This window comes from Homo sapiens, chromosome X (assembly GCF_000001405.40).
Source record: "Homo sapiens chromosome X, GRCh38.p14 Primary Assembly".
In the NCBI taxonomy this organism is placed as follows: Eukaryota; Metazoa; Chordata; class Mammalia; order Primates; family Hominidae; genus Homo; species Homo sapiens.
The window spans coordinates 13,755,284-13,775,190 of record NC_000023.11 but is presented as its reverse complement, the minus strand read 5'-3'; the positions used below and the strand labels follow the sequence as shown (position 1 = coordinate 13,775,190).

General features: G+C 39.0%; 2 protein-coding genes across 31 annotated transcripts in view, besides 3 other annotated features; one reads left to right on the top strand and one right to left on the bottom strand.

The window, feature by feature from the left end:
* GPM6B (glycoprotein M6B) overlaps window positions 1-4,252 on the top strand; it is a 167,700-nt gene extending 163,448 nt beyond the window's left edge. For 6 of the 10 annotated variants that reach the window (NM_001318729.2, XM_011545497.3, XM_047442007.1 and 3 more), the window contains one exon: window positions 2,161-4,252. In NM_001318729.2, coding sequence (NP_001305658.1) covers window positions 2,161-2,310 — 150 coding nt within the window. In that variant the 3' untranslated portion in view covers window positions 2,311-4,252. Of the gene's footprint in view, window positions 1-566 lie in introns of all 10 variants that reach the window. The other 4 variants (NM_001001994.3, XM_017029432.2, NM_005278.5 and 1 more) reach the window with 1 other exon arrangement.
* The window catches only part of OFD1 (OFD1 centriole and centriolar satellite protein), a 59,234-nt gene continuing 40,779 nt past the window's right edge, over window positions 1,453-19,907 (bottom strand). For 8 of the 21 annotated variants that reach the window (XM_047442583.1, XM_047442586.1, NM_001330210.2 and 5 more), the window contains 11 exons: window positions 18,424-18,613; window positions 17,401-17,531; window positions 16,743-16,854; window positions 14,471-15,076; window positions 13,980-14,106; window positions 12,747-12,847; window positions 11,336-11,446; window positions 7,907-8,064; window positions 6,967-7,137; window positions 6,406-6,473; window positions 5,834-6,125 (listed from right to left, as the gene is read on the bottom strand). In XM_047442583.1, the coding sequence (XP_047298539.1) occupies window positions 6,083-6,125; window positions 6,406-6,473; window positions 6,967-7,137; window positions 7,907-8,064; window positions 11,336-11,446; window positions 12,747-12,847; window positions 13,980-14,106; window positions 14,471-15,076; window positions 16,743-16,854; window positions 17,401-17,531; window positions 18,424-18,613 (1,818 nt within the window). In that variant the 3' untranslated portion in view covers window positions 5,834-6,082. Of the gene's footprint in view, window positions 5,507-5,833; window positions 6,126-6,405; window positions 6,474-6,966; window positions 7,138-7,906; window positions 8,065-11,331; window positions 11,476-12,746; window positions 12,848-13,979; window positions 14,107-14,470; window positions 15,077-16,742; window positions 16,855-17,400; window positions 17,532-18,423; window positions 18,614-19,907 lie in introns of those variants that run through there. The other 13 variants (XM_047442585.1, XM_047442589.1, NM_001440947.1 and 10 more) reach the window with 7 other exon arrangements.
* Window positions 13,942-14,441: an enhancer, noted in NCBI's record as "H3K4me1 hESC enhancer chrX:13778869-13779368 (GRCh37/hg19 assembly coordinates)". NCBI's record gives its function as "activates a minimal SCP1, AML or CMV promoter by ChIP-STARR-seq in naive H9 embryonic stem cells {active_cell/tissue: H9 hESC(naive)}" and the evidence as "EXISTENCE:reporter gene assay evidence [ECO:0000049][PMID:30033119]".
* Window positions 15,748-15,837: an enhancer, noted in NCBI's record as "active region_29445". NCBI's record gives its function as "activates an Ori minimal core promoter by ATAC-STARR-seq in GM12878 lymphoblastoid cells {active_cell/tissue: GM12878}" and the evidence as "EXISTENCE:reporter gene assay evidence [ECO:0000049][PMID:35858748]".
* Window positions 19,644-19,713: a silencer, noted in NCBI's record as "silent region_20669". NCBI's record gives its function as "represses an Ori minimal core promoter by ATAC-STARR-seq in GM12878 lymphoblastoid cells {active_cell/tissue: GM12878}" and the evidence as "EXISTENCE:reporter gene assay evidence [ECO:0000049][PMID:35858748]".

Here is a 19,907-nt window from a genome sequence, read left to right as displayed (position 1 = left end):
TTATGTATGTATGTTTGTATACATGTAATTTTGGAGGGCTTGGTTTGTGATTTCAGGAAAACCAACTAAGATTGGTAGAGCAAGGGAAAAATCTCAGCTGCTTGTAAATTATTCATTCCCAGTTTTTCTGACCATTAAATCCCCTTAGAATCTATGAAAAAAACCACCTTTAAAATCATGGGGTGACCTGTTCTTTTGGTTGAGCAACAGGGAGGAAAGATAACTGCCTGCTGCTGAGCAGGTGGTTTTGGAAAGATGAGAGGATTAAGGCATTTAGCTTCATCCTTCTCATGCTGTTGACCCAGCTCTCTGTCTTGTTATTCTTGAAACGCATCCAAGTCCTTTTAGTAAACTCACTGAGGGCAGAACCAATGACTTACATTGTACATGTGTGATGAGAAAAAGTTTGTGTGTGCTAGATAGGAAAATTGTCTGTTGTGATTTTAAGTGGGAAAAAAACACCTTAGACTATGAGCAGGCACCCGTCCCCACCCAAGTTTAGAAGTGTCATGGCATCGGCCCTCACTGCCTGTATCTTACTGTCCTGTTTTGTTCTCTTCCACCAGCTGATCTACATGATGGCTACTACATATAACTATGCGGTTTTGAAGTTTAAGAGTCGGGAAGATTGCTGCACTAAATTCTAAATTGCATAAGGAGTTTTAGAGAGCTATGCTCTGTAGCATGAAATATCACTGACACTCCAGACTAAAGCAGAGTCTAGGTTTCTGCAATTTTGTTACAGTAATTTGTAAATAGCTTTAGTAAACTCACCTTGCATGGTAGATTAATAAGATGACTTACTGTACATGAATTACACAATAATGAGATCTGGTGGCTATTTCCACATTTTGAAAAGGATTCAGTTATTTACTGACAGTGGTGAGCATCCTTTTTAAAATAATGTTCTCATACTTAAACATTAGAGAGCAGTATCTTTAAATGAATTATTAACACTTTGGAATACTTACATTTTCTGTTATTTTTGATTGCCTGATAACCAGTTTCAATGATGAAAATGAAAACAAGTGCTGAAGATGAAATGGAAGAGAACCGTTTTAATCTGGATTTTGTTTTGTCACACCTGGAAAATACTTTGCAAATATGTTCTAAATTGAAAACAATTTTTTTATGATCACATGGTTCACTACCAAATGACCCTCAAATAAGCCAGATGAAAATTTGAAGAAAAAGGTCACCCAGTTCTCTGGAAAAAAAAAAAAAAAAAAAAAAAAAAGGATTTATATGTGGGTAGTTTTTTTTTTGGTACAACACAATCATTCTGTTAGAGCCCACAAAATTGGTAACCTTAAATTGTGTGTTTTGGTAAGTAATAACTAACTGTTTCCTCATAGCTAGTTCTCAAGCTGCATGTAAGATTTTAACGGGAAGAGAAAATAGGCCTGGACCTGAAGGTCTCAAATATGTTGAGAAGAAAGTATGAACTATAAGGAACTTGAGATGTAGATTTATTTTGCAGGAAATACGAGGAAAATAGGAAAGAAGTGTTTGCCGCATCAAGTGTAAAGAATGATACTGAGGATTTTTACATTTTATGAAATGAAATAATGGCATTTACAAAATGAAAAATGTAGTTTCACAACTAAGTTTTGTTAACAGAGACTGCATGCTTTGCTTATAGTTCTTAATTTTGGTTTTGACATTCATTTAATTTTTTCCATGTTAAATATGTAGTTTAATTATTTACTCAAAATAAACATTGTTCATGCTTTTAGGCCTTTGGGGGAATTGATTTTTATCCACAGGTAGAAAATGGTCTTTGCACACACTACACTTATTTCAAATATACAATGTGCTCCCGAACTTTCGCATTAGTCTTTAAAATTACTCTCAAAATGGTATTAAAAAAAAAAAAAAAAGCACCCTCTCGTATTTCATTTTTGCTTTTTCTTAACAATACCTTTGGCCATTTTTTTCCAGTTCACTATGTTTGTATACTAACTTTTCTTCAGCCTTTTAATGCGAAGCCAACTAGTAGAGCATGCTTTCAGGATCTGACAGCTCTGCTAGTAGAGCGAGTATTTATTAATACAGAATTAACCTTCGCCCCTTTAAAGTCAAGTCTGTCTAATCTAACTAGCGCCTCGCTTTGCCTTCTCACAATGCTCACTAGCCATCATGCTCACCCTTCTCTTCCAGATCCACTTCCTCATGATACTGTCTTCTAACTGGGCTTACTTAAAGGATGCGAGCAAAATGCAGGCTTACCAGGATATCAAAGCAAAGGAAGAACAGGAACTGCAAGATATCCAGTCTCGGTCAAAAGAACAACTCAATTCTTACACATAAATGTTTGCCAGAGTGTTTCGGCCGACGTATTTACAGCTCTGACAAATCATCAGACAGCTGCTCTGCAGTACAGATGTGTATCCCACCAAACTAATGTAGATGTACAAACACTTCACTGTCTGTCTCAAGCTGCTGGGATGTATCTCTAGGAAAACCTTCCAGTGGGTAAATCTTTTTCTTTAGAACAAATATTGGAGGTTTCATGTTAGCCATTTTAAAAGGCAACACTTTGACAAAATGATCGTTCATACTTTGGGAATTTGTGGCATGTTCACATTTATTGCTAGGGCAATTCTACCAAGACACTCAATGGAATATGTCACACTCCTTAATAGGGACCTGTGACTCCTTAATAAGGACCTGTGACATGCCCAGCATCAAGGGATAAGACCGTAAATTCACATATATGCCATCTGTCCTCAAGTGTTATCTACATAGGAAATAAAATGGAATTGATGTAAAGTTCCATTTCTGACAGCTGACATTTATTAAACTTTGGATCAAAGATAATGTGATTCTTATGATTGATTTCTCAAACTAGCTTTTCCCTCCCAAGTCCAGGACCCATTAATTTCCTGAGCCAATCAGAAATATATTTTTCAATAATGCTAAAATTAGCTACAATTCTGCTGACCCTACTATTAAAGAATCTGGATGCTGGACTCACTGACAAGCTTTCCAGAAGCAATTTTATAACAGATTTCATTTTAACAAAATACTGATCCAATTTTCATTATTCTTGAGAAATGTCAGCTTTGCCTTAATGAGTATTTGCTTTAAATTTCTAAGAATTTATATCATAACTAGAGACCCAAATATCTTTCACAGAATTTTGTTCCATAAATGTTTTTCTTAATTATTAAGAAGTGTTACCTTATTAAAATGACCACCATTCTAAACCATTTTTCAGTGGTCTGGATACGAAGTTTACAGTTTCATACCAACTATCTAAAACCTAATTGCAAATTGACCACAGACCTCTAACCTCCTACTTTTATAGACTTGAATACTTAAGTAATTTAAATTAGGGTTGGTATTTCATTTTTTTCTTATCTAAATCTTAGTTTCCTGGAATAATAAAGTTTGATGTTCAGCAAGAGAACTGCTTGAGTTTAAGCCATTTTCAAAAGAAACTTGCCTTTTACATTATTGTGTTCCAGAACATTAAGTGACTGTAGGTACTGGGTATTAGTGATGGTAAACTTTGTGTTGCTCTTTATGAAATGATCCATATAACTGTTGGGTGCATCAGTGCTTTTCAAAGGGGCTGCTTACTATAGGGTTAACTATGTATATTCATTGTTAAGAGTTAACTTGTGGTTTGGCTGTTTCCTGGATTTTATAACATACATGTGCAGAAATGTATTCAAATGAAAGGAAGCATACCTTTATCAAGATGCTATTAAAATTGAACATCAAGTATAATATTTCATTTGGATTCTCTTTTTTGGTTAATGCCTAAAAATGCCTATTTGGGATTTTTTTTTTTTTTTAAATTAAGAGAAGCTCTCTTCTGTGTAGAACAGTTGTTCCAAAATAGCTTAGTGTTTTGTTTTCCTGTTGCATGACAGATTTAACTATTCTTTCCAGCAGTGGAGGTGCTGTCAGAGTCCAGTGTTCTAGAAGAGGCAGTGTCTAAAGCCTAATTTTACTTTTCTAATTCTGGTAGCTATTACCAGGAATTTTTGAAAGTTTTGTTTAAGTAGTCTAATATTTTTTATGTAAAGAGCATTAAATTTTGCTATGTATAAATTTTTGTAACCTAACAGTGAATCAATATTTTCTATCAGTGCCAAGGGCTTCCTGTAGTTCTATTCAAGTGTTACAATAAATATTTGTAGATAATAGTCAATACTTGTGTATGCTTATTTTAAAGATCTATTTAGGTGGAAATAGTTGTGGATGTACTAAGAGTAATGAAATAAAATTATAGCTTCATTCACTTGCCTTTTTACCATACATAAATCCTATCTTTCTTTGTTCTCAGTATGGTTTCACTTTTGAATAATGTGCAGAGTCAAGATTTCACATTGGTATGGAAATCAAATCTGTGAGTGCTAATTGTTTTATTTCTGGCAAAAATCTCTTCAGCAATTAAAGAAAATATTAAATAATCCACTGGGCTGTATTGGGCATAAAAGTGCCACTAGCACGTCTGTAGTTCTCTATAAAGTAAGAATTTTTCTGACTAGTTTTTCAACAAATAAATGCCATCTACCTATAGGATCAACAAAGCTTAAACGTGGGCAAAGCAGAAACAAAATAAGGGCATGTGTGTAGTTATTTTTCAAACCAAAGGTACAAAAGTCTATTGAAAGATTTACTCTGGAATACAAAAAAACCTAGTTCTAACAGTTGACTCTCTAGAGTAGCCAAGCTAAATATGTTACTTAGGATTTTATTTTATAATCTGTTTAAACTCTTACCTCTCAACATGATTATGCATTTGGATTCTCTGCGTCTGACCTTTCTTAGTGAGGCCCAGCCTTTGTCACTATTGACACATGGCCATTCCTAAATGAGGTGCTGACTCTAGATCATCACCCTTCCTTCATGCATGGCAGAACAATCAGGAGGCTCAATTAGTGTGCTATTTGTCACACTACTTAGTATCTTCTGTTTAAGTAGCATTTTGTGCAATTATTTAAGTCACATGAGTCACCAGAGGAAAACTGTAAATAATGGTTAGATAAAATCACAAGCAGCCTCTTAATTACCCATAGTGATCCTGCCACGAAACCTAGGACCCTTTAGAGGGTTCAGTAGAGATTTTTTTCCAGTTCTGCCTTGTAAAACTTGATTTTTTAAGAGATGAAGTCAATTATAGGGAAGGAGCCCATTCATTTAAAAACAAAGGAAATACGCCCATTCATTAAGTATGAGGACCAAAGGTTCCATAATAAAGATGCTATCTCAGTCTGTTCCTGCTGCTATAGCAAAATACCTTAGACTGGGTAACTTACAAAGACCAGAAATGTATTTCTTACAGTTTTAGAGGCTGGGAAGTCGAAGATCAAGGAAGGCACTGGCAGGTTCGATGTCTGGTGAAGGCCCGGTCTCGGCTTCCAAGATGGTGCCTTGTTGCTGTGTTCTCCAGAGGGGATCAATGCAGTGTCTTCAAATGGTGCAAGGGCAAAAGGGCCTAGCTAGTTCCATTGAGCCCTTTTATAAGGTCACTAATCCCACTCTTAGTCACCTGCAAAAGGTGCCACCTCTTAATTCTATCACACGGGGGGGTTTAAATTCCAACATATGAATTTTGGAGGGACACATACATACAAACCACAGACATCAGAAGTAAAGACCAGAGGCAGTATCTTTCTTACTATTTCTAATGCCTAGAAAAATCTGTTTTTATGTTCAGGGACAAAACAGGAGTGTGCTAGGAAAAATGACCTCCTGTTTTACAGGTGGCAGCCCAACTTTGGAGAGGAAAGAACACAGCTTATACTTCCAAAATGTAGGCCTGCAGTTGAGCAGTAAGATAGGTTATACTCATTTATAAATTTAAGACAAAAATAAGGAGGTTAAAAGCCAGTTACTTTTATTATAATGAATGAGAAATACTATGACTGGAGAAGAGGTTTCACGTGACTAGATTATTCTTGGTTCACACACTATGGTATCAAAATTAATTATGGAAAAAAAAACCCACATTGGATTACACACATTTTTATTGAGTTTTGTCTGATGATAGGGAAACATTTACAAAGGAGTAAATGTTACGTAACTTCTCACGGTATGTAAGTTAGAAGCTGGGCAGCAAACATGGTTACCAAGAGTCGTCTAGTTCTTCATGAGAAAAGCCTGTTAAACTAAATTAGGGAAAGATAAAAATTAAAATGTAAAAATTTGTGTCAAGTTTATTTGCTATCTTCATAATGTTCTCAATTCCTTCCCTGGGGGGTTTCTGCCCTAGTTTACAATTTATATCAGGATCAATTTCACAAGTCAAAAAACTCAATTGTTTTTATAGTCACTAATTTTGACTGATTCAATAACTTCTTACAGGCAATCTCAAACATCTGTTTCTCTTGGCTGACAAAATAAGCAATTAACAGTTTGTGTATGAAAGTGTGTAGGGAAAACAGGTACCTTTCGACTTTGTCACTAGATTGCAGCGTGTCCACTAGGGAGCCTTCTTGGACCATCTTTTTTGAGCTCTGATTACATGGAGAGGGTGGAAAATTTTGAAATTAGATATGCATTAATTTCATGAAATACTTTAAGAACCATTTTTGAAATATATATGTAATTTAAAAGTCTAAAAAAGAGGTGACTTTTAAACATGAAATTTAGCAAGCACATCAAAATAAACTATAGGGTATGCATTTAACACCCATAATACTTCAGACTTACATAAAATATTAATGTCAGTATTAATGCATTTGATAGATCTTTTCTTTCTTAATGAGCCACCCCAACTTTTACAAATTAAAATCTCTTAAATCTTTTACCTTAAGCAAAAAAGCTATGAATTTTTGTCAAAAGAATAGTATATTTAAAAGACTCAAGGTTCCATTTGAACTTTGGATTTTCTATACTTTTCACCTTTTTGTCTTCAATGGAGAAGACGGATTCCCGTCCCAAGAAGTTAAGCCACGGAAGCCCTGGATGTCCCCCACCCACAGATTGCCCTGCCCATGGCACTGGCACCTTATCTGCCGACTCCTGGTCTTGCTCCTGCTGGATGATTTTCATGTATTTCTCTAAAGGATTTTCACTGTGAGCAGATTTGTCTTTTATTTCTTGATTACTCATTTCTAATTCATTTTCCATTTCTAATTCCTTTTTTATTTTAATCTTCAGTGATTCTTCAATCATCTTCTATAAAACAGGCACCAAAACAGAAAATACACAAATACATTTGTAAAACTTTTAAGTGTTTTAAAAATGCACTAATATTAATCCCGATCCTTCAAGTACAGCCTGTATGCCAGAGGACTAATTTTTAAAATTGAAGTCATTGCTATCATCAAAGGAAGACAAATATGTCATCTCAATGAAGGAAGGTATTAATTGGCAAGTGTCCTGTGCTTTGGACTTGAATTAACCAAGAGTCCAAGGAACATTCATATGTTAGAGTAATTCAAGCAAGACTTAGCAGGTGTGTTAAGTGGACAGAGTAATCCATCTGCTAGGACTAGAATTGGGACACAGAAGGCAAGAAGAGAAATAGAGGAAGGAGGGAGGGAGTGTGTGCCCCTGGAAGCAACTGTGAACTGGCAGCCACTCCTCCCTTGGGTTCTAGTCCCAGCTAGCTGGCACTGACAGTCTCTTCTTTAAACCCTGTTTTCAAAGCAAAGTTCTGCAGCAAAGCACAGTCTACCTTTTTTACAGGCTTGTTTTAAGGATCAGATGAGAATGTACAAAAATTACCTTCAAAAACTATCCTTTACTACAAAACTCCTAAGCTTCACATTCTGTGCAGCCTTTCCCACTGCTTTTAAGACAAGGAGAGGACAGGGATGCCTTTTAAGGCATCTGCCGCACCTCTGACTTTGTACACCAATTGACTCCCCTCCCTGAGCTCAATGTACTTACGAAAGGTGTACAATGGAGCAACCAGTTCAGAGAATCAAGTCATACTTATTACCCTTTCCTGATACAGTTTTTCTAGTTCTCTTCGTTCCCTTTCTAAAACTTCTTGTAGGTTACTCTGCCTTCTTTCTTCTCTCTGCCTTCGTTCTTTCACTTGCTGTTCCCGTATTTTTTCTTCTTCCTTTTGTTCTTCAATTTGTTTCTGATCTACACCTAATAGGACAGAAAATAAAGAGTAGCTTCCAGTATCAGATTATTCAAATGAATGCAGGACCAGTCTGCAGGAGCCCTTGCCAAGACCCACGGAGACTCTGCTTGGCTTTTAGTTGACTCTGTGACCTGCTTCAAGTCACTATTTCATTTTCACCGACTTCAAGCTCCCGACCCCACTCCTTGAACTGTACCCTACTTCACTTGACTGAGACAAATACGTCACCCTCACCATAACCAACTCCAACTGTCCTCCTTCCATGTCACATGTTCTCATCCTCTTCACAGATCTCCTCCCTCCTTTCCAAGGCAAACCCTGCATTTCTGCCTCTGCCTTTGATTATAATCCCTCCCCTATCTTTAGGACCCAGACTGAGCCATTAATCCCTATTTCTGTACACAGTAGTTTTAGAAGTCTTACTCCCATAAAGATGCTCAAGTCTGTCCTACCCCAACAAAACAGAACAGAAATCACACCACTGCCCTCCCCCCGCCATTCCAGCCATCTCACTGTTCATTCCCCACTTCCTCCAAACTGACGGCAGCCCTTCCTGGGGTTTTAGCCATCACTTGTATATGGATCCTTTCCCTATCTTTTCCTCTACTCCTGGTCTCTCTCCCTAGCCTCGCGTCCACATTTCTGATAGTTCCTTGCCATCCGCATGTGGAAACCCCACAGCACTAGCTTCGTCCCAGGCATGATCATCCCGGTCCTTCGATCATGCTCTTTCTACCCTCTATCCACTCAGCCACCAGTGTTTGCAGGTTCACACTCCCTGTCCTGTGGCTGCAACAGGGGCCCTTCTCACCATCTCCCTGGACTACTGAAACAGCCCAGTCAAGGCTCTTCCTGAAGCCAGTCTCTGCCTTCCAACAACCTGTGGTCATCTGCACCAGGCATTTCCTGAGGGGAAGATGTGGATCTGCTGTGCAGCATCTCCGCTCTGATAAGAGTCCTACGCCATGGTAGTCTGGGCTCTGACAACCTGCCCTTTTCTTCCCAGATTGATTTCCTACATCACCACCAACTTTGTACGAGAAATATTTCATCTGTACCAACCCACTCACTGGGGCCTGGCCGTGGCTCTATCTTCCTTGCTTGACATTCACCTTCACTGTCTCCTCAGCCTGTAGCACTCCCTTGCTCTCACAAAGTCTGAAATGCTATTCAAGACCCAACTGAAATGCCACCTCCTCCTTATTCCTGAAGTGACAACTAACCACTCCAGCATCTCACTTGCAGGATATCTTGTACCTGATCTGTCAAAAACTACATGTACTTGTTTCTTCCACTTCTATTCCTTCCAGGCAAGGTCCATACTTTAATTACTTGTCTGTTCCCTCTGCATCTTGGCACAGGTCCCTATATCTCAAAAGTTTTAATTAGACCCCAATCCCAGAGACAATTATGCTGACCTTTCTCTTCTGGCTCTGACCCATAACCTACATTTTTTTTTTCAACCCAAGCAATGCTAATAAGTAGAAAAATTCATAGGTTCAGCAGAGGACTTTGAACCTTTTTGCTGTGCCTTGTTCTAAAGTGATCAGCAGGAACTGAGTTTTACTAATAGGAGAGAAGCAACACAGTTTCTTCTCTCTCTCCCCCATCTCTTCTGAATCCTTCTCATGAAATTAAAATACCAGAGGAGACAGCTGATCATTTCCACAGGCAGAAATGCAACTTCCTCCTTGCTAGAGAAGAAAAAATAGTTACTCCTAAACAAGATTGCTTTCTTATATGGAATAGTAATCTCAAAATAGGAATGTTGTTTAAGCACCAATTACAAAATAAAGAGGAAGAGTGAGCTGCTTCTCTACTCTGGTGTATATTTTGTAGCTGCAGGGTGGTATACAGAAATCTCTTGGACACAAGGGGAAAGGAAGGAAGCATGTCCACGGGGCACCTCCGAGACACCAAATTTCAACCTTTTTGAATTCCCTTTGTGCCCAGATGAAGAGATGAAATGACAAATATAACAATTTCTCAATAACTAAAATGTCACTCGCCATGCTGCTTAATAATTTTTAAAGCAAATATTATAATCTATGTTCCATCTCAGCAGCAGAACACCTAGTTACTCAGTTGATTTCCCTTATCCTATCACATTATTTGTATTCCCTCGCTCAGGTCTGTGCCAAATGAGTGCCTGTAGACACTCCCTCTTGTGGCCACGGCCCCTACTCAGCTGCTGCAGCCCCTCCCTGCTGCGGTCCTGGGTGATGGCCTGCTGACCATCTGCCTCCCCTGCTAGAAATCCAGGAAGGCGAGGGCTTGAGCTATATGCTCAGCGCTGAGCAAAGTGCCCAGCAGAGACAAGGCTCTAGATCATGTCTCACTGAATGCTTTCCAAAGCAGATTTACTCTGGAATCAGCAACATCAACCCTCTCAAAATCTCTTGCCTCTTTCAGTTATTTTATATGTTCCTGGGTACCATGACTAAAACCAAGAAACTGCTAACAGGGGTTTTGGGTATGATGTTTTTCCAACGTTTGGGAGGGACTAAGAGGTGGCTTTACTTGAGAAAATTCCTTTCAGATTTGAGGATTAAACACTTGGTCCAAGAAGAAAAGGACCTGGCTGTTGGCTGAGCCCTGGAACAAAGCACAAAGCTCCCACGGCTCTCTTCCCGTCTCCCTCCACCCGCAGGGAGGGAAGTGGGTAATCTGGAGGAGAAGAGGAAAAAGAGGAAGTGGGCCAGAGAAGAGAAGTCTGATGGCCAGTTTTCCTCCAGTGCTACGCTAACTCGGTGTCACAGCTTTTCCAAAGATTGAAATACGAAGTTTTTCTGTCCTAATTTCTTAAGACACAAAGGAAACAAGTAGATAGAAAAATAAATAATATTTAAATGTTACAATCATATTAAAGATATATGCTGGGAGTTAATTATTATTTCAATTTTTCACTGTGATTTCCCAAACTTTAAGGTTCCCAAGGAACAGTTTTTGCAGAAGAGTCTTGGGGAAAAGTCCAACTACTATGCCAGGCACTGAAGAGTAAATGAAAACACTTTTTAAGCAACTGGCCTGGGAAGCCTAAATGAGAAGCCTTTCCTTCCAACGTGTCCTTTCTCAGCACTGTCTTTACATGTTCACATGGGAATTACTTCAGAAATGTCATTAACAATATAATGACACCTATAACCCCCAACCCAAGATTTTGACTAATTTACACCTACAAGATGACTTCAGTGATACATGAAATAATTCACAGAGCACACGGACTGGTATTTAGTATGCGACCCTGCTGACTGTTAGTTCAAAAAAAGAACTTACTTGGGTGCTGATATGAGAGGGGCACAGCAGCTGCAGCAGCGTCCACATGAGACATATCCCCGGCAGGAGAAAGCCCGCCCATTTCCAACTGCCTTGGCATGTTCCCTGCAGCTGCATGAGGCACAATTGTCCCATGAGTCCTTAATAATAACACCAAGACAAAGAAGGGCAGTGCAGTGTGGGGGCAACTGACTGGAGCACGGGAACTGAAGCCAAAGTAACTGGGTGCGCCCTTTCCTAACAGGATTCTATGAAGTTCCCAACATAACCACTTGGCAACGTATTTGCTTGTCAGAGTGTTCTCGTAGTTGAAAGAATTAACTTTGTTTACAAAATGAGATTCGTTACCCAACAGGAAAATCAACCCAGTGACAGTGAAGAATTCAATTGGCTTGCTGATCATCATTTGAATTCTATTAAAATATCAATGATTTAACACAAAGACTTTAACAAATATTTACAAAATTTACCAAGCCCTCTCATTTAACTGTTCAAAATATTAACACTTTCAGATTTGAAGATGAAGTTTACAAGGCTAACCAATAGCTTATATGCAAATATAAAGATTTCTCAAGCTGGAAAGAACCTTAGAGATGATAGGCTCTACATGCTTATTTTACACTTACAAAGTGGCTACAAAGTAAGACAGTCTAAGGCAGGGCCATAGCCAGGACACCAGTTTCTGGACTCTTAATATTCTTTTATCTCTATTCTTTTACTAAAAATGAGGTTTTCTAAATCTGAGGCAATCAACTGAATCAGTATATTTAAAAAATAACATCCTTAGGCCGGGCGCAGTGGCTCATGCCTGTTATCCCAGCATTTTGGGAGGCCGATGCAGGCGGATCACTTGAGGTCAGGAGCTCAAGACCAGCCTGGCCAATATGGTGAAACCCCATCTCTACTAAAAATACAAAAAAACTAGCTGGGTGTGATGGCATGCACCTGTGGTTGGTCCCAGCTACTCGGGAGGCTGAGGCAGATGAATCACTTGGACCTGGGAGGAGGAGGGAGATTGCAGTGAGCCAAGATCGGACCACTGTACTCCAGCCTGGGCAACAGAGAGAGACTCCATCTCAAAAAAATAAAAATAAACATTCTTGTATTCCATCAAAGGAAAAAATAAATAAAAATCACTTATTTAAAATCTGATAAGTTAATAATTCATTTATAAGCTTAGCTCAAACTCTGAAATTATTAGTCATACTGAAATTTTTAAAAAGTAAACACACACATGAAAATCATCATGGTAGAAAAATGAGGTGATACATCTGTACTTGTGGTTGTATCACAAAATAATAATGACCCAATTTGTAACTGCTTTTCTTTTTAAACCAATGGATACGTTTCACCAAAACTAAGCTTTCTAGATTTTCAACATATAAAAACTGGTATTTATATTTGAACTTACATTCAAAAGATGATTCAAACTCCTCATTATCCTTAAAAGCTAGCTTGTCCACATCTGAAAATTCACTTTTGTCTTGAAGTTCAGTTTGTCTTCGATAAAGACTAGATTGGAAGGATAAAACTCGTGAAGTTTCAATAATGGAAAACCAAAGAGTACAAGGTGACAAAAAGCCTTTTGTGACTCAAGAAAAGGCTCTACAAAATTCCCTTTCTCTTTGTCTTGTAAATAGCTCCACCTCACCACCACCACTAGGCATTGTTCTCAGCAATTAATACCTGTTTAATCAGTTACTCCTTGTAACTATTTCATGCTGTGAAGTAGGTACTACAGTTGTTAATAAAGAATAATGTTGTACTCTGAATGCTATTCCTAGGAAATAACCATAAAACATTTCTGAAAAAAAATTCTGCACACTATCAGCATGAACCAGATGAAGATGCAACACCACAACCTTGAGTGAGCAAAGCGCCCTAACTCAGCATATGTGTGTGTCTTATCCTTCCTTTTGGCTTATCACAAAAAAAAAAAAAAAAAAAAAAAGCTTTAGGACTACGACAGGCCCATGTGGCAGAGAACTACATTAACATGCAGATGCCCGAGATCGAGCCTGGAGCTAAGGAGTCAGTTCCCTCTGCTGTGGGGCCCAGGTATGGGTAGGAGTCTGCTCATGACTCAAATCATAGCCTGGCTGACCCAGTGGACTAGTTTCTAAAAACATCCACTCCTTCCTGTTTCAACAATCATACACCAGAGCCTGCTACCACGTTTGAATTTATTTCAATGATATGCAGGTCAGAACCTTATCTGTTTATATTTCAATGCCAAAATATTTTAAAAATGACTTTTTAATGATGTGTAAAATTGTTCCAACTTTATAAATAACCTCCATTTGTTTGCTTTCAGATTTTGTACATTTGTTTTTTATCTTAATAAACCAAATCTATTCACAGAACTAGGAAGATGCTTATTAATACCAGATTGCATGGTCCATATATCAAGTTTAGCAAATAAGCATTATCCACTTATTTGCTAAAAGCAATCTTTTTCCCTCCAGGTAATTTAGATGATTCTCAAAGATGACATATCATTTTGCAATCTGATTGCAAATTCTATACTGCCACATGATCTATAATAATTATCTCAAAAAAAAAAAATCCCAGTAAAACAAGTGAAGGCTGACAGAGCAAGTAACATTATTCAGCTGAAGCTAATCAATCAGAACGTTATACTTACCCCACTTTCTGCTCCGGAGGGCTGGAGACAGGAGGGATGGAGAGGCTGTGCCTAGACTCAGTGGGTGATGGTAGGGGCATTCTGTCAGGACAAGGACTGGGGGAAGCAATGTGTGATCTGCCCAGACCTAAGGTGCAGAAAGAACCAAGGCAAGAATATTACCAATTGCACGGAGAAGATACCAACGTGGTTTCTAAAGAGCTCTACTAGTTTGAAAATAAACTGTTATCCTCACAAATAGCCAATTATGATGCATAAGATCCAGAAAACTAATGATTCAAGCACCTAAATTAAATTGCAGTGGCAATAATAAAATGCAGGAAACCAACAGGCAGCAAAGGCAAGGCAACTATCACTCTCTAAACAGCTCTGTGTGCCAAACACTAGACCTTGCCACTCTGGCCCGCTGACCCTCACGGCAACCCTGTGTCGTGGGCAGGGTGGCTACCCAACTCCAGAGCACCCCGCAACCCTTTGTGCGGGTGGCTTACCTTCCAGATACATTTCACTTTCGAGGCTTCTTTTTGCTTTTGGAAGGGGTGTGGAAGAGAGGCGTCTGGAGGAAGTGCCCCCGCGGAGCCTCGAGGCTGCACTGCCTGTCAGTGCTTCCACGACGTCATTCCTTTCTTCAAGTGTGCCCACTTGAGGCTGCTCAGAGACAACTCTGTCCTCTCCAAAAATATGTCTTTCCGGGGAACTGGAAGTAATGTTTTTGAAGGCTTCCAGCAAGTGCAGAGATGGTGGGCTCTTTGCTGCTAGTGGGCTTTTGGCAGAGTTTTTAATGACTCTCCGATGGTAACTTCTGAAAGCCTTTTCCAAGCGTTCGGCCTCTTGCTGAAGCTCTTTGACCCTTGCCTTAGTATTGGCTACAAACTCAAGGTCAGAATCAGGGGAACTACCCTCCACCCATGCAGTTGGATAATTTGTGATCCTTGATGCAACCATACGTGCTAGAACGTTTTCCTGTTTAAAAGGATTGTTCAAGAAATCCCCACTTATCTCACCATTGCAAGGCACCACATTGCCATTTATTAATCCATTGACAGAACGATCGATCACAGACTGCTTTGGATTGCAGTACACTTCATTCTCTAGGGCTGCAGGGTACAAAAAGCCAATTTCAGAAGTAAGTGGACAAGGCAGAGAAGAAAATATACTTGAGAATATTATTTTTTTGAAAAATGGAAGAGAGTAATAAGGACAAACTTGCACTATACAGTTTCTGAAGCCATGGTAACGATAACCACTAACATTTACTGAGAGCTTATTGTACCAGCTACAGCTTTGTATGTCTTTTGTAACATGATATAATTTCAGAATCCATTATGCACAATTTTGAAAGCCACAAGGCTCTGAGAACTGAAAATTTATTCATAATTTATTTGGTGGCAAAGCCCAACCAGACTTGAACTCATTTGGTTGAAAAGTTTGACCTGAACTGATGTAAACCCATTTATAATCTTTATTTATCCCAGCATGAATATTCATACAGTTGACTGCAAAATAATTAATGTGCTTTACTATAGGATGCTGTTCAGAACTCCCAGGGCTATTGCGAAATCCACAGCATATGGCCCGAGTTTCATATAAGGAAGTGAGGACCTGCATTCACAACAACACTGTGGTCAAGAAACTCTCACTGCTCCCATTTTACAGATGGGGGGACTAAAGCTTACTGAGGCTGGGTCACACGGTTAGCAAGTCTAAGAGCTACTGGGCTTTCCTAATGCAAAGCCAGTGCACCTGCCCCTCTCTCCTGCAATGCCTCCCCGTGATGCTACAAGAAAGAAGCTTGCCCTCGGCAACACATGCATGCGAAAGAGTTCTATCCTCATTCAACTATTTTTTATTGATAGGAGACTGCTATGATTTCAGCTGTGAGAAGTTTCACAAACAGAACTGAAAGAAAATGAGGAACAGAAAAAAGCAGAAACGAGTAGAGATAAAAATAAAACAAGTGCTGGTAGAAGAGAGCAAGGAGCTGATGAGGAAACAATGCAGGTGGGAACAAGGAAGGCTCAGACCCAGTTGAACTGGTAACACATACGTACTTTCTTTGAACTTGAAAGCAACTGAAGAATAAAGTATCTGAACTTTAATATCCTTCTTACGAAGTAGGAAGGGGCAGAGATGCATCCACAGTGAAGACACAATAATAAAATGATACCAATAACCATTTCCTGAGTGTCTTTTATGTCCCAGGCACTGGACTGAAACCCATTTCATCTTTTTCATCATGGCTCAGTAGGTATTATTATCCCCATTACAAATGAGGAGACTGAGGCCCAAGGAAGTTAAAGTAACATGCCCAAGGTCAAACAACTTCAAAACGGGTCCAAAAGAAGAACAGTTCTGATTCTGAAGGCAATATTCTTTTTGCTAAACCACCCTGCTTGTCCTGTATATTTATATATCTATCAAGGAATCCGTAAAACTACTGAATTGGTGTTAACATTGGGGTAACAAATAAAAAAGGAAATCCTATAATGAATATGGGGACTTCTATGTTACCACCACGCCTTTCCTATTGGGGCATGAGACTCTCCCAAGCCATGAGGCACCTATGAAGCAAAATACTTTTGCTGATGATCCAGATGGTATTACCAAAATGGATAGGGAGTTTTACTTCTAAGATGACACATATTTCTATGGCTTTTCCCCTAAAACAATAATTAATATTCAATAAATTATGATCATTACATTTTCACAGACACCAGAAGCTTTATACATACAAAAATATTTATGGGTTAAAACGTCTCTAACCTGTCTGAGTTTGCTTCAGTTGCAATTTTAAATCGGCAACCTGAGTAGTTAAACTCTTTACAGAAGCTTTGTAACCTAGAATCTGGGCCTTCAGCTGTGCAGAATGCTCAATCTGAAAAGATTCAGAATAGGAAAAGAAATCAATGTAAAACAAATCACAGCTTGCTTCAAAAGGAAAAGTTCTCTTATCATGTTTGTACTCTTTTTGTTCTGCCAATTCCAAGAAGCTTTATGACAGTAAACAACAGGGTCCCTATTAAAAAAAAACACAAGCAGAACACACAAACAAGTTCTTCACCATCTTTTTCAGTCATATCAAAGAACTCTAGGGCATGCAGGCAGAAATCAGAAGACAGTGAATGTTTGTAATACTTATCAGGGTGAGAATCGAGAGATAACAGTGGGCACCATCAGGCACTCAGAAAATTTTATGTTTAGGTGAGTTTGCTTTCTTCTCCATTTTATTACTATTACGAATATAAAGTCACGTTATCACTGCAGAATTTTCTCAGATGAGAAAGGATACCTTTAGCATATTTGGGGGAGTAATGTTTGATGTTAAAATAAATCTGATTTACACTAGTGTGACTTGTGCCAAGTTTACGTAACTATGAAGTGTACTGGTATCACACTAGAACTGAAGAAGAGCAATACTCACTTCGTCTTGCAGTTGTTTGTGCAGAGCTTGCCTGCAGCTTTCGAACTCCTCATGCTCAACCACTATAGCCTTTTCGGCTTTCCGTAGTTCTTTCTGAAAGACTGCAAGTTCAGGAGCCGGCTGAGCTAGGCCTAAGAAGGTAAAAAAAAAAAAAAAATCCTAGTCATTACCAACCTTAAGTTTTCTTATTTAACTTAACAAAAACAGTTAAAGGGGTTTTAAAGTGTTCTTTGCTTTGTACTGACTCAATAAATATGATAATAATTCTATTAAATGAGCTCAGAGCAATCCTGACTCTCAAATTTCACAACAAAAGAATTTAGTGCATGTTAATGCAAACTTTATTACCCTTGGAGTCCTACTCCAAGTAAAAGAACTCTTTCAAATTCTCAAATTAACCTGAAAGCCTGTTTCTCTCCTCTACTGTGCACAGAAGGAGCTCTCTATCTGGTCTACCTGTTGATGACAGCCCTGGGATCCAATATGATCTGGGCATCTGACAGCAGCAGTTGGGATCCAGGCAGAAGGCAGATGGCTCTCACGGTCAAGGTCATCTAAGAACCCTTTAATAAAGGTTGACTTATTCAGGGTATGCACAAAGGATGGTGGAGTTCCCTGGGTGGGCTAGTAACAGGGCCATACTGTTAGCGCTCCTTGGGCCTGGGGAATCAGAGGAGGGAGAAATTCTCAGCACTAGAGACAGGGTGGTGGTGCAGAGCACTTGGAAGAGGTAATCGCAGGCACTATGGCCTCACTTGGCCATGAGGCACAGTGGCCAGCCTAGGGCCACTGTATGTAGAGGCTGGTGTCCCCACTGGCCAAACCCAATCAGCAGTCAGAGGGCAAGGGAAGCTTTGATACCACCTATAGGCAGGTTTGCAGAGTTTAATCCAAGAATCTTAATTTTATAAATCTTCCCAATGTAAGCCCCCTACCTTATACAAGTACAAAGCATAGTTTTATAATACTGACCTAATGCGAATTACTAAAACACGCAAGTCAGAAGAAAAGAAAAATACATACGGTTTAGGAGACGCAGGTTTTCATTTCTACTCTCTTCCAGTTGTTGTTTAAGTAATTTATTTTGTGCCAGAAGCTCCAGTTTCTCTTCTTTTAGTAGTGAATAATCACTCATCTCTTTAACCTTTTCATTCAGCATATGGTTTTGTTTTGTTATTGCCAAAGACTGGGCTTTGACAGACTCTAATTCAAGCTAAAATTCAAAAAGGAAAATTTACATTTGAATAATGACTTTACAGTACTGCAAAAGTAAAAGCTGGCAGGCTCCTTTAAGCATGGTGTCACAATTTAATTAAGGTCACTAGACAGAAGTCTGATTCTCTACAATAAGACTCTAACTACAATAACGAAAATTATCTTCCGCCCTACAGTTGGGGCAGAACTTTTATAGGCCGCATCCCATGAAGCAAGTCCTTCTAAGATTATCATCCCATTTTCCAGAGGCAACCAAGAACCCAACAATAATCACACATCATAGCAATATATATTTTTTAAATATGAAAGGTAAGATAAAAATGGCTGAGCATGGTGGCTCACGCCCGTAATCGCAGCACTTTGGGAGGCTGAGGCAAGAGGATTGCTTGAGCTCAGGAGTTCGAGACCACCCTGGGCAACATGGTGAAACCCCATCTCTACTAAAAATACAACAATTAGCTGGGTGTGGTGGCACATGGCTGAAATCCCAGCTACTTGGGAGCTGAGACATGAGAATCACTTGAACCCGGGAGGTGGAGGTTGGTTGCAGTGAGCCAAGATCACACCACTGCACTCCAGCCTGGGCGAAAGAACAAGACTCTGTCTCAAAAAAAAAAAAAAAAAAAAAAGGGAAAGAAAGGAAAAAAGATTCTGTAAAATGTTGTGAAGTGCTTCCCTTTTCTTAGTATATCTCATATTTGAGTAAAAAGCCTACAAAGTTCTCACATAAGTCACAGTTGCTAAAATAAATTTCATATACAAAATATGTTGTAAGTACCTAAAGTTCCAGCTTCATCCTTCAGACAGCAAGCACACGAATGAACAGAAAAGTAAAGAAGCAATGATATGTGAAAAATGTACCTCATTTTGTTTTAATCTGTAAGATAACAATGTAATGACAGGAATTTTGTTTACCTGCTGCTGATGGAAGGAGATAACAGGCTGATGTAGAAACTAATAGTAATGGCCACCTGCTATGAACTAGGCACATAAGTTAGCTTACTGAATTCCCTCAACAACCCTATAATGTGGAAAACATCCTAGTTTACAGCTCAGGAACCTGCAGTCACAGAACTTACCTAGCGACACACAAGCAGTTAGAGACACAGACAGGATGTGGGCAGGACTCCAGGACCCAAAGCTCTATCTACACTTTCCTATGTGACACTGACTGAAATTAAGAACTATTGAATTAACTTCAGCTAACACCTTCTTAGCCATATAAATGGCAGTCCAAACATCTCAACAGGATGACTTAGGATAAATTATGTATGACTAAAATTTCATATATT